Genomic DNA, 12,223 nt, shown 5'->3' with positions numbered 1-12,223 from the left:
CTCTACTAAAAATACAAAAATTAGCCAGGTGTCATAGCGCGTGCCTGTAATCCCAGCTACTCAGGAAGCTGAGGCAGGAGAATCACTTGAACCCAGGAGGCGGAGGTTGCAGTGAGCCAAGATCACGCCACTGCACTCCAGCCTGGGCGACAGAGCAAACTCCGTCTCAAAAATAAATAAATAAATAAATGAAAGTACAGTGGAAAAGGTAAATTTTATGTTACACATACATTAAAATGTCTGTGTACCCTGGTAGCAATAAGCATAACCTAGCACCCGGATCTTGGTTTCTGATATCATTCTCCAATGAAAGTAACCAGTGCTCCTTGGAGAAATAGCTGACTCTAGAACTGGGACAAAAAAATACACAAGAAGCCTGGGTGCAGTGGCTCACACCTGTAATTCCAGCACTTTGGGAGGCTGAGGCGGGTGGATCACTTGAACTCAGGAGTTCAAGACCAGTCTGGGCAACATGGTGAAACCCCGTCTCTACAAAAAGTATAAAATTAGCCAGGCCTGATGGTGCACGCCTGTACTCCCAGCATCTCAGGAGGCTGAGGTGGGAGGATCGCTTGAGCCCAGGAGCTTGAGGCTGCAGTAAACTGAGATGGTGCTATCACACTCCAGCTGGAACGAGACCCTGTCTCAAAAAAATAAAAAATAAAAAATTCGCCCAGTCATGGTGGCTCACGCCTGTAATCCCAGCACTTTGGGAGGCCGAGGCAGGCAGATCGCTTGAGGTCAGGAGTCCAAGACAAGCCTAGGCAATATGGCAAAACCGGGTATCTAATAAAAATACAAAAATTAGCCAGGTGTGATGGCACACGCCTGTGGTCCCAGCTACTTGGGACCCTGAGGTGCAAGGATCACTAGAACCCAGGAGGCTGAGGTTGTGATGAGCAGAGATTGCCCCACTGCACTCCAGCCTGGACGACAGAGCAAGACTCTGTTTCAAAACATAAATAAATAGGCCAGGTGCGGTGGCTCACACCTGTAATCCCACACTTTGGGAGGCCGAGGTGGGCGCGGATCACCTGAGGTCAGGAGTTTGAGACCAGCCTGGCCAACATGGCAAAACCCCGTCTCTACTAAAAATACAAAAATTAGCCAGGCGTGGTGGCAGGCACCTGTAATCCCAGCTAATCGGGAGGCTGAGGCAGGAGAATCGCTTGAACCTGTGAGGCAGAGGTTGCAGGGAGCTGAGATCGCGCCACTGCACTCCAGCCTGGGCAACAGAGCGAGACTCTGTCTCAGTAAATAAATAAATAAATAGAAATACACAAGATGATCTTGAAGCAACTTGTAGTACCAGAAAGTAAGGTAGTGCTAAAAATGAAACACCCCACCAATGATGATGATGTCACAGGGAGTGCTGAACCAACTGAAAGGACTCCTAATGGCCAGAGTGGAAACAGTATGAGCAACAAAATACTGTAAATTAAGTGGTACTGGATTATAACCCAAAACATAAAATAAATATCCGCCAGGCACGGTGGTTCACGTCTGTAATCCCAGCACTTTGGGAGGCCGAGGCAGACGGACCACCCTGATCTCAAGGAGTTTGAGACCAGCCTGGCTAACATGGTGAAACCCCGTCTCTACTAAAAATACAAAACTTAGCCGGGCATGGTGGCAGTCGCCTGTTAATTCCAGCTACTCACAGGGCTGAGGCAGGAGAATCGCTTGAACCTGGGAGGCAGAGGTTGCAGTAAGCAGAGATTGCGCCACTGCACTCCAGTCTGGGCAACAGAGTGAGACTGTGTCTCAAAAAATAATAATAATAAAATAAATATCAGGCCAGGTGCGGTGGCTCCCACCTGTAATCCCTGCACTTTGGGAGGCCAAGGAGGGTGGATCATGTGAGGTCAGGAGTTCGAGGCCAGACTGGCCAACATGATGAAACCCTGTCTCTACTAAAAATACAAAAAATTAGCCGGGCGTGGTGGAGGGTGCCTGTAATCTCAGCTACTCAGGAGGCTGAGGCAGGAGAATCGCCTGAACCGGGGAGCAGGGAGTTGCAGTGAGCAGAGATCGTGCCACTGCACTCCAGCCTGAGCGACAAAAGCGAAACTCCGTCTCAGGAAAAACAAAACAAAAAAAAATGCCAGGCACAGTGGCTCATGCCTGTAATCCCAGCACATTGGGAAACCAAGGCAGGCGGATCATCTGAGGTCGGGAGTTCAAGACCAGCCTGACCAACATGGAGAAACCCCGTCTCTACTAAAAATACAAAATTAGCAGGGCGTGGTGGCGGGCACCTGTAATCCCAGCTACTCAGAAGGCTGAGGCAGGAGAATCACTTGAACCCGGAAGGCGGAGGTTGCAGTGAGCCGAGATCCCGCCATTGCACTCCAGCCTGGATAACAAGAGCGAAACTCCATCTCAAAATAAATAAATAAATATCCACCAGTCCCTACTGATATAAATAAGTGATTGAATAAATAAAGTGGGGAGAAGAGGCAAATCTTCCACGCAAAATTGCAAATAACTTATGGAGATAACTCCTCTCCCCAGAAAGTAGAGCATGCCTAGGCAACATAGTGAGAACTCATTTCTACAGAAAAACAAAACAAAAAAAAGAATTAGACCAGGCACGGTGGCTCACGCCAAAGCAGGAGGATCACTTGAGTGCAGGCATTCAAGACCAGCCTGGGAAACTTAGCAAAATCCCATGTCTACAAAAAACTTAAAGTTTTAAATAAATAAATACAGGCTTAGCTTCTCAGTTGTACCAGCCTCATTTCCAGCACTTAATAGCCTCATGTGGCTAGTGGCTACCATATAAATATATATATATTTATATATATTTATATATATTTATATATATATTTATATATATATTTATATATATTTATATATATTTATATATATATTTATATATATATTTATATATATTTATATATATATTTATATATATATTTATATATATTTATATATATATTTATATATATATTTATATATATATTTATATATATATTTATATATATATTTATATATATTTATATATATATTTATATATATATTTATATATATATATTTATATATATTTATATATAAATATATATTAATATATATATTTATTAATATATATATTTATATATATATATTTATATATATATTTATATATATAAATATATATATTTATATATATTTATATATATTTTTATATATATATTTATATGTATATTTATATATATATTAATATATATATTTATATATTTTGGAGACAGAGTCTCACTCTCTCACCCAGGCTGGAGTACAATGACGCGATCTTGGCTCACTACAGCCTCCGCCTCCCATGTTCAAGCAATTCTCCTGCCTCAGCCTCTCACACCCAGCTAATTTTTATATTTTTAGCAGAGACCGGCTTTCACCATGTTGGCCAGGCTGTTCTCAAACTCCTGACCTCAGGTGATCCACCCACCTCAGCCTCCCAAAGTGCTGGAATTACAGGCATGAGCCACTGTGCCCAGCTATCCTTTTTTTTTTTTTTTTTTGAGACAAGGTCTTGCTCTGTTATCCAGGCTGGGGTGCAGTGGCACAATCATGGCTCACTGCAGCCTCAACCTCCCAGACTCAAGTGACCCTCTTGCCTCAGTCTCCCGAGTAGCTGGGACTATAGGCTCATGCCACCACACCCAATTAATTTTTTTTAGTAGAGAGAAGTTCTCACTATGTTGCCCAGCTGGTCCTCCAACTCTTGAGCTCAAGCCATCCTCCTACCTAGGTTCCCATAGTGCTGGATTACAGGCATAAGCGGCCTTTTTTTTTTTTTTTTTTTTTGAGACACGGTCTTGCTCAGTCACCCAAGCTGGAGTACAGCAGCATAGTGGCCGGATCTTAGCTCACTGTGACCTCTAACTCAACTATAGGCATGTGCCACCATACCTAGCTAATATTTGTATTTTTTTCTTTTTTGAGACAGAGTAACATTCTGTCGCCCAAGCTGGAGTGCAGTGGTGCAATCTCGGCTCACTACAAGCTCCGCCTCCCGGGTTCACGCCATTCTCCTGCCTCAGCCTCCCGAGTAGCTGGGATTACAGGGGCCCACCATCACGCCTAGCTAATTTTTTGTATTTTTAGTAGAGACGAGGTTTCCTCGTGTTAGCCAGGATGGTCTCAATCTCCTGACCTCGTGATCCGCCTGCCTTGGCCTCCCAAAGTGCTGGGATTACAGGCATGAGCCACCGCGCCTGGCCTAATATTTATCATTTTTGTAGAGATTGCATCTCACTATGTTGCCTAAGCTGGTCTTGAACTCCTGGCCTCAAGCAATTCTCTCTTCACAGCATTGCAAAATGATGTATTATAATAATCACAGGCCTGAGACACTGCAGGTGTCTGGACTGTGCAGGTACAGAACATTTCACCACTGTAGTGTCCTGTCAGCATGGTGTAGGACAGTGCTGTTCCATAGAAATCAAGTGTGAGCTTGGCCAGGCACAGTGGCTCACACCTGTAATCCCAGCATTTTGGGAAGCCGAGGCGGGCGGACCACCTGAGGTCCGGAGTTCGAGACTAGCCTGACCAACATGGAGGAACCCCGTCTCTACTAAAAATACAAAATTAGCCGTGAGTGGTGGCACATGCCCGTAATCCCAGCTACTCAGGAGGCCGAGGCAGGAGAATCACTTGAACCTGGGAGGCAGAGGTTGTGGTGAGTGGAGATTGTGCCATTGCACTCCAGCCTAGGCAACAAGAGCGAAACTCCATCTCAAAAAAAAAAGAAAAAGAAAAGAAATCAAGGGTGAGCCACATGTGGCATTGTATTTTCTAGTAGCCACATTGAAAAGGTAGAAAGAAACACAAGAAACTAATTTCAACAAGTATTTTATTTATCCCAAAATATCCAAAGCATTGTTTCAACATGGCAATCAGTAGAGACATTATTAGTGAGATCGTTTATTTTCTCTTTTTGGTGCTGTCTTAGAAATCCAGCAATGCAATTTGGGAGGCTGAGGTGGGATGATCAATTGAGTCCGGGAGTTCAAGACCAGCCTGGGCAACATGGTGAAACTCCATCTCTATAAAAAATACAAAAAAATTAGCCAGGCGTGGTTTCATGTGCCAGTAGTCCCAGCTACTCGGGAAAGTGGCGCAAGAGAATCACCTGAGCCCAGGAGGTCGAGATTGCAGTGAGCTGAGATTGTATCACTACATCCCAGCCTTGGTGTCTCAAAACAACAACAAAAAAGAAATAGAAGATTTTTTTTTTTTTTTGAGACAGACTGTCATTCTGTCATCCAGTCTGGAGTGCAGTGGCACAATCTCAGCTCACTGCAACTTCCGCCTCCCGGGTTCAAGCGATTCTCCGGCCTCAGCCTCCCAACTAGCTGGGATTACAGGCACACATCACCACACCCGGCTAATTTTTGTATTTTTATTAGAGACAGGGTTTTGCCATGTTGGCTGGGCTGGTCTCGAACTCCTGACCGCAGGTAATCTGCCCGCCTTGGCTTCCCAAAGTGCTGGGATTACAGGCGTGAGCCACCACGCCCAGACGAAAGTCAAGTTTTTGTTTTGTTTTGTTTTGTTTTGTTTTGTTTTGTTTGAGAAGGAATCTTGGTCTGTCACCCAGGCCAGAGTGCAGTGGCACGATCTCGGCTCACTGCAACCTTTGCCTCCCGGGTTGAAGCAATTCCGCTGCCTCAGCCCCTGAGTAGCTGGGATTATAGGTGCCCACCACCGCGCCCAGCTAATTTTTGTATTTTTAGTAGAGACAGGGTTTCACTATCTTGGCCAGGCTGGTCTCGAACTCCTGACCTCATGATACCCCGCCTTGGCCTCCCAAAGTGCTCGGATTGAAGGCATGAGCCACCACACCCAGATGAAATTCAAGATGTATTTTTATACTTACAGCTCATCTCTATTAGGACTCACCACATTTCAAGTGCTTGGCAGTGACATGCTGGTGTCTACTGTAATAGGTCTAGAAGGTTACATCAAACTGTTAACAGTAGTTGCTTGGGGAGCATGGTGGTGGTGTGGAGGAAGACCTCTCACTTCTAATTATACTGCTTAGTAACATCTCACACTTTTTACAATAAGCACATATTCGTGTTTTTTCTTTTCTTTCTTTCTTTTTTTTTTTTTTCCCCTTGAAACAAAGTCTCCATCTGTCACCCAAGCTGGAATACAGTGGTGCCATCGTGGCTCACTATAGCCTCAACCTCCTAGGTTCAAATGACCCTCCCACTTCAGCCTCCCGAGCAGCTGGGACTATAGATACGTGCCACCACATCTGACTAAAATTTACATTTTCTGTAGAGACAGTGTCTCACTATATTGCCCAGGCTGGACTCAGACCCCTGGACTCAAGTGATCCTCCCACCTCCTTTAGTCCTCCTAAAGTGCTGGGATTACAGGCATGAGGCATGGACCCCAATCTATTTCTTGTGTTAGTTGGGTCCTCCAGTAAGCAGAGAGTCAGGCCCAGTTAGTAATGCAAGGGTCAGGGCTACATAGGGCTAGGGTTAGTGGAGGCTTATGACCTGTGAGTCACAAAGAGAGGCGAAGCAGGATTGGGCAGGGAAAGCCCTGGACTCTGATGCTGGCTGACATCTGAGAATGGAAACAGTGGAGAAAGCAGTCAGGAAACAAGGGCCTCAGACTACAGCACAGGCTTGACCAACCCAAGGGGTTACTCCAGAGTAAAGATCACCAATAAAGTTGTCCCTTGTTGGGCAGAAATGGCCTGGTTCTGGTATCCCTGCTGGGCTTAGTCATGGACAGAGGGCTGCCTGTGAAAATGGTGTCCCCAGCAGGATGGAAGGCGCTGCAGCTGGAGGAGGCAACTGCACTCCTTGCACTCACCCACAAGCTCTTTTTTTAAAATTTTTAAAAAATATCTATTTATTTATTTATTATTTTATTTTTTGATTTGGAGTCTTGTTCTGTCACCCAGGCTGGAGTGCAATGGCGTGATCTCAGCTTACTGCAACCTCCGCCTCCCAGGTTCAAGTGATTCTCCTGCTTCAGCCTCCTGAGTAGCTGGGACTACAGGTGTCCGCCACCACGCCTAGCTAATTATTTTGTATTTTTAGTAGAGACGGGGTTTCGCCATGTTTCCCAGGCTTGTCTCGAACTCCTGACCTCAGGTGATCCCCCTGCCTTGGCCTACCAAAGTGCTCGGATTACAGGCATGAGCTACCACGCCCAGCCATATTTTTTTATTTTTAACTATGGTAAGAAAAACACATAACATGAAATTTGTAATCTTAATCATTTCTCAGTGTACAGTTCAGTAGTGTTAAGTATATTTACATTATTGTGCAACCAATCTCCGGAACTCTTTCATCTTGCAAAAGTGAAACTCTCTCCCCGTTAAGCTCCTTCTTCCCCCACCCTAGCCCCTGGCACCCAACATTCTACCTTCTGTCTCTATGACAAATACGACATGATTCCGCGTATGACTTCCTATATGTGTATAACTTCCTATACGCAGAATCATGTAGTATTTGTCTTTTTGTGACTGGCTTCTTTTACTCAAAATAATGTCTTCAAGGTTTATCCACGTTGTAGCGTGTGTCAGCATTTCCTTCCTTTTTTTTTTTTTTTTTTTTTGAGACAGAGTCTCGCTCTGTCGCCAAGGCTGGAGTGCAGTGGCGCGATCTCGGCTCACTGCAAGCTCCGCCTCCCAGGTTCACGCCATTCTCCTGCCTCAGCCTCCCGAGTAGCTGGGACTACAGGCGCCTGCCACCACAACCGGCTAATTTTTTGTATTTTTACTAGAGACGGGGTTTCACTGTGTTAGCCAGGATGATCTCAATCGCCTGACATTGTGATCCGCCCACCTCGGCCTCCCAAAGTGCTGGGATTACAGGCGTGAGCCACTGCGCCCGGCCCATTCCCTTCCTTTTTAAGCTGAATTATATCCATTGTATAGACAGACCACATTCTCCATTCATCCATTGATAAACACTTGGGTTGCTTCCACCTCTTGGCTATTGTGAATAGTGCTGTTATGAACATGGGTGCCCAAATATCTCTTTAAGATCCTGTTTTCAATTCTTCTGGGTACACACCCAGAACGGGAATTGCTGGATCACATGGAATTCTACATTTACTTATTATTTATTTAGAGATGGAGTCTTGCTCCGTCATCTGGGCTGAAGTGCAATCATGCCATCTTGGCTCACTGCAATCTCTGCCTCCTGGGTTCAAGAGATTCTCCTGCCTCAGCCTCCTGAGTAGCTGGGATTACAGGCACACACCACCACGCCCAGCTAATTTTTGTATTTTCAGGAGAGATGGGGTTTCACCATGTTGGCCAGACTGGTCTTAAACTCCCGACCTCAGGTGATCCGCTCGCCTCAGCCTCCCAAAGTGCTGGGATTACAGACGTGAGCCACCACGCCTGGCTACTTTTAATTATTTGAGGACCCTCCATAGTGTTTTTCATAGAAGCCTCACCATTTTACATTCCCACCAGCAGTGCACCAGTGGTTCATTTCCTTACATCCTCACCAAAGCTTTCTTTTTTTTTTTTTTTCTTTCTTTAAATAATAGCCATCCTAGGCCGGGCACGGTGGCTCACGCCTGTAATCCCAGCACTTTGGGAGGCTGAGACAGGCAGATCATTTGAGGTCAGGAGTTCAAGACCAGCCTGACCAACATGGAGTAACCCCGTCTCTACTGAAAATACGAAATTAGCTGGGCGTGGTAGTGCATGCCTGTAATCCCAGCTACTTGGGAGACTGAAGCAGGAGAATTGCTTGAATTCAGGAGGCAGAGGTTTTGGTGAGCCGAGATCGTGCCACTGCACTCCAGCCTGGGCAATAAGAGCAAAACTCCATCTCAAAAGAAAATAATAATAATAATAATAATAGCCACCCTAAGGGATGTGAGGTGATATCTTTTTTTTTTTTTTTTTTGAGACGGAGTCTCGCTCTGTTGCCCAGGCTGGAGTGCAGTGGTGTGATCTCGGCTCACTGCAAGCTCCGCCTCCCGGGTTCACGCCATTCTCCCGCCTCAGCCTCCCCAGTAGCTGGGACTACAGGCACCTGCCACCACGCCCGGCATTTTTTTTTCTATTTTTAGTAGAGATGGGGTTTCACCATGTTAGCCAGGATGGTCTTGACCTCCTGACCTTGTGATCCACCTGCCTTGGCCTCCCAAAGTGTTGGGATTACAGGCGTGAGCCACTGCGCAACGGCTTTTTTTTTTTTTTTTTTTTTTTGAGACAGAGTGTCACTCTGTCGCCCAGGCTGAAGTGCAATGGCTCGATCTCGGCTCGCTGCAACCTTCACCTCCTGGGTTTAAGTGATTCTTCTGCTTCAGCCTCCCAAGTAGCTGGGACTACAGGTGTGTGCGACCACACCTGGCTAATTTTTTGTATCTTTAGTGGAAACAAGGCTTCACCATGTTGGCCAGGATGGTCTTGAACTCCTGGGCTCAAGCAATCCTCCTGCCTTGGCCTACAAAAGTGCTGGGATTACAGGCTTGAGCCACCGTGTTAGGCCCCTGTTAGCCTCTTGAAAGGTAATCAGATACGTGCATCTCCAGGACTGCTAAGTCTATATACCTAAACATTTATTATAAAACATTTTACAAACCAAGCAAGAGATCTGGAGGGCACTAGGGAAGGCCGATATTTCTACAGAAGTTTCACACTAATAGAATCTCAAAGGAACATTTAGCATTCACTGCCAGGCCCTGGGCCAAGCTCATTTCATTCCCTTAACTGCTTTTAAGGAGGGGGTTGTTGCATTCCAGTGGTGGAGCAAGGGCTGACTTGGAGGGGAGAGTGGAGAACTTTAGTTATAATGCCCTCCCACCCATCACTCTGAATAAACAAATCAAAGTTGTTTTTTTTTTTTACTGTTGTCTTATGCAAACACAGACTCAAAACAGTGCCCGGGGCACCACCCTTCCTGCAGCTAGATTCCTTCCCCTAAACTGCTTGAGATAAAATCATTGACCTAGCATCGCAGGCATTTAAACTAGGCTGGGAAATGTCCAAAATCCTTGTTGTTTCCACGAATGATTTAAGAATAACAAGACCTGAAAATAACATAGCGAACAGGAAGGAAGCCATCCTGAGTGTACTGCTTGGGAAATCAAGAAAGGGCACCACGACATGCAAAAGACCTTAAGACTGATTCTGCTTGGTGCCAGGCGCGGTGGCTCACGTCTGTAATCCCAGCACTTTGGGAGGCCGAGGCGAGCGGATCACCTGAGGTCGGGAGTTTAAGACCAGTCTGGCCAACATGGTGAAATCTCATCTCTACTAAATATACAAAAAAATTAGCCAGGCGTGGTCAGCCTCTTGAACACTCTGCTATCACTCACTGGGTTTCAAACTTGAGCATGCATTAGAATCACCTACAGGGGTTTTTAAAACACAGATGCTGGAGCCCTCCCTCAAAGTTTCTGAATCCGTGGGTCGAGAATTTGCATCTCTAAAAAGCTTCTAAGTGATGCTTGTGGGGCTGGCCCTGGGACCACACTTTAAAACTTCTGCTATCGGCCGGGCACAGCGGCTCACATCTGTAACCCTAGCACATTGGGAGGCTGAGGCAGGAGCATCACTTGGGGCCAGGAGTGGGAGACCAGCCTGGGCAACATAGGGAGGCACTGCCTCTACAAAAAAAAAAAAAATTTTTTTTTTTTGAGATGGAGTTTCAAAGGCTCTTGTTGCCCAGGATGGAGTGCAATGGTGTGATCTTGGCTCACTGCAACCTCTGCTTCCCAGGTTCAAGAAGTTCTCCTGCCTCAGCCTCCCAAGTAGCTGGGAATTACAGGCATGCACCACCACGCCCAGCTGATTTTGTATTTTTAGTAGAGACAGGGTTTCACCATGTTGACCAGACTGGTTTCGAACTCCCGACCTCAGGTGATCCACCTGCCTCGGCCTCCCAAAGTGTTGGGATTACAGGCGTGAGCCACCGTGCCCGGCCTACAAAAAATTTTTGAAATATTAGCCAGGCGTGGTGGCAGGCACTTGTAGTCCTAGCTCCTCAGGAGTCTGAGGCAGGAGGAGCTCCTGAACCCTGAGCTCAAGGCTGCAGTGAGCTATGTTCATGTCACTGCACTCCAGCCTGAGTGACCGAGCAAGATCCTGTCTCTGGGGGAAATAAAAAAAGAACCTCTGCTATAACTTGTAATTGTTTTCATAATTTCCCAGTGGAGAGAGAAGGGCCATCGTTACCTAGCAACAGATTGTCCAATTCTATGAGGGATCTAAGAGTTAAGTTTCTTAACACTTTGTAATAGTAGCCGACATCCATTGATGCTTATAGTATCCTAGACACTTTTATGCATTATATTATACAATCCTTATATCAGTCTTGGGAAACAGATATTTTTCTTTTTCCCAGTGTACAGTGAGGAAACGAGGTTTGGAGAGATTAGGAAATTTGATCAAGCTTGTGAATCAGCAAGTATGTAGCAATTGGGAGGTTCAAAGCAAAGACCGCTTAACTCTACAGCCTTGTAGGACATTTCAGCCTTTACACATAGTAGATGCTCAATACATTAATCATTCATGAATGAACAGATTGCTTTTTGTTTGTTTTGTTTTGTTTTGAGACAGGGTCTTAATCTGTTGCCTAGGCTGGAGTGCAGTGGTGCAATCAAGGCTTACTGCAGCCTTGACTTCCCTGCCTCAAGAGATCCTCTGGTTTCAGCCTCCCAAGTAGCTAGGTCTACAGGTGTGTGTCACCACGCCTGGCTAATTTTCGGGGGGTTTTTTTGTTTGTTTGTTTGTAGAGATGGGATTTCCCCATGTTGCCTAAGCTGGTCTCAAACTCCTGGACTCAAGTGATCCTCCTGCCTTGGCTTCCTGCAGCACTAGGATTACAGACATGAGCTACTGTGCCTGGCCCAGAAGGAACTTTTTTTTTTTGAGACCGTGTCCTGCTCTGTCACCCAGGCTGGAGTGCAATGGCGTGATCTCGGCTCACTGCAACCTCCACCTCCCGGGTTCAAGCGATTCTCCTGCCTCAGCCTCCTGAGTAGCTGGGATTACAGACGTGTGCCACCACGCCCTGCTAATTTTTGTATTTTTAGTAGAGATGAGGTTTCACGATATTGGTCAGGCTGGTCTTGAACTCCTGAGCTCATGATCCGCCCGCTTCAGCCTCCCAAAATGCTGGGATTACAGGCATGAGCCACTGCGCTGGGCCCAAAAGGAACTTTTGACATGGACAATTCCAGCAGTGATAAGTGGGGGCAGTGAAAGTTAAAAGAGGCCGGGCACGGTGGCTCACGCCTGTAATCCCAG

At 46.0% G+C, this 12,223-nt stretch overlaps 1 annotated feature.

The window, feature by feature from the left end:
• Positions 7,217–7,266: a silencer, noted in NCBI's record as "silent region_5045". NCBI's record gives its function as "represses an Ori minimal core promoter by ATAC-STARR-seq in GM12878 lymphoblastoid cells {active_cell/tissue: GM12878}" and the evidence as "EXISTENCE:reporter gene assay evidence [ECO:0000049][PMID:35858748]".

This window comes from Homo sapiens, chromosome 12 (genome assembly GCF_000001405.40).
Source record: "Homo sapiens chromosome 12, GRCh38.p14 Primary Assembly".
Classification (NCBI taxonomy): Eukaryota; Metazoa; Chordata; class Mammalia; order Primates; family Hominidae; genus Homo; species Homo sapiens.
This window is presented reverse-complemented; position numbering and strand designations above follow the sequence as displayed.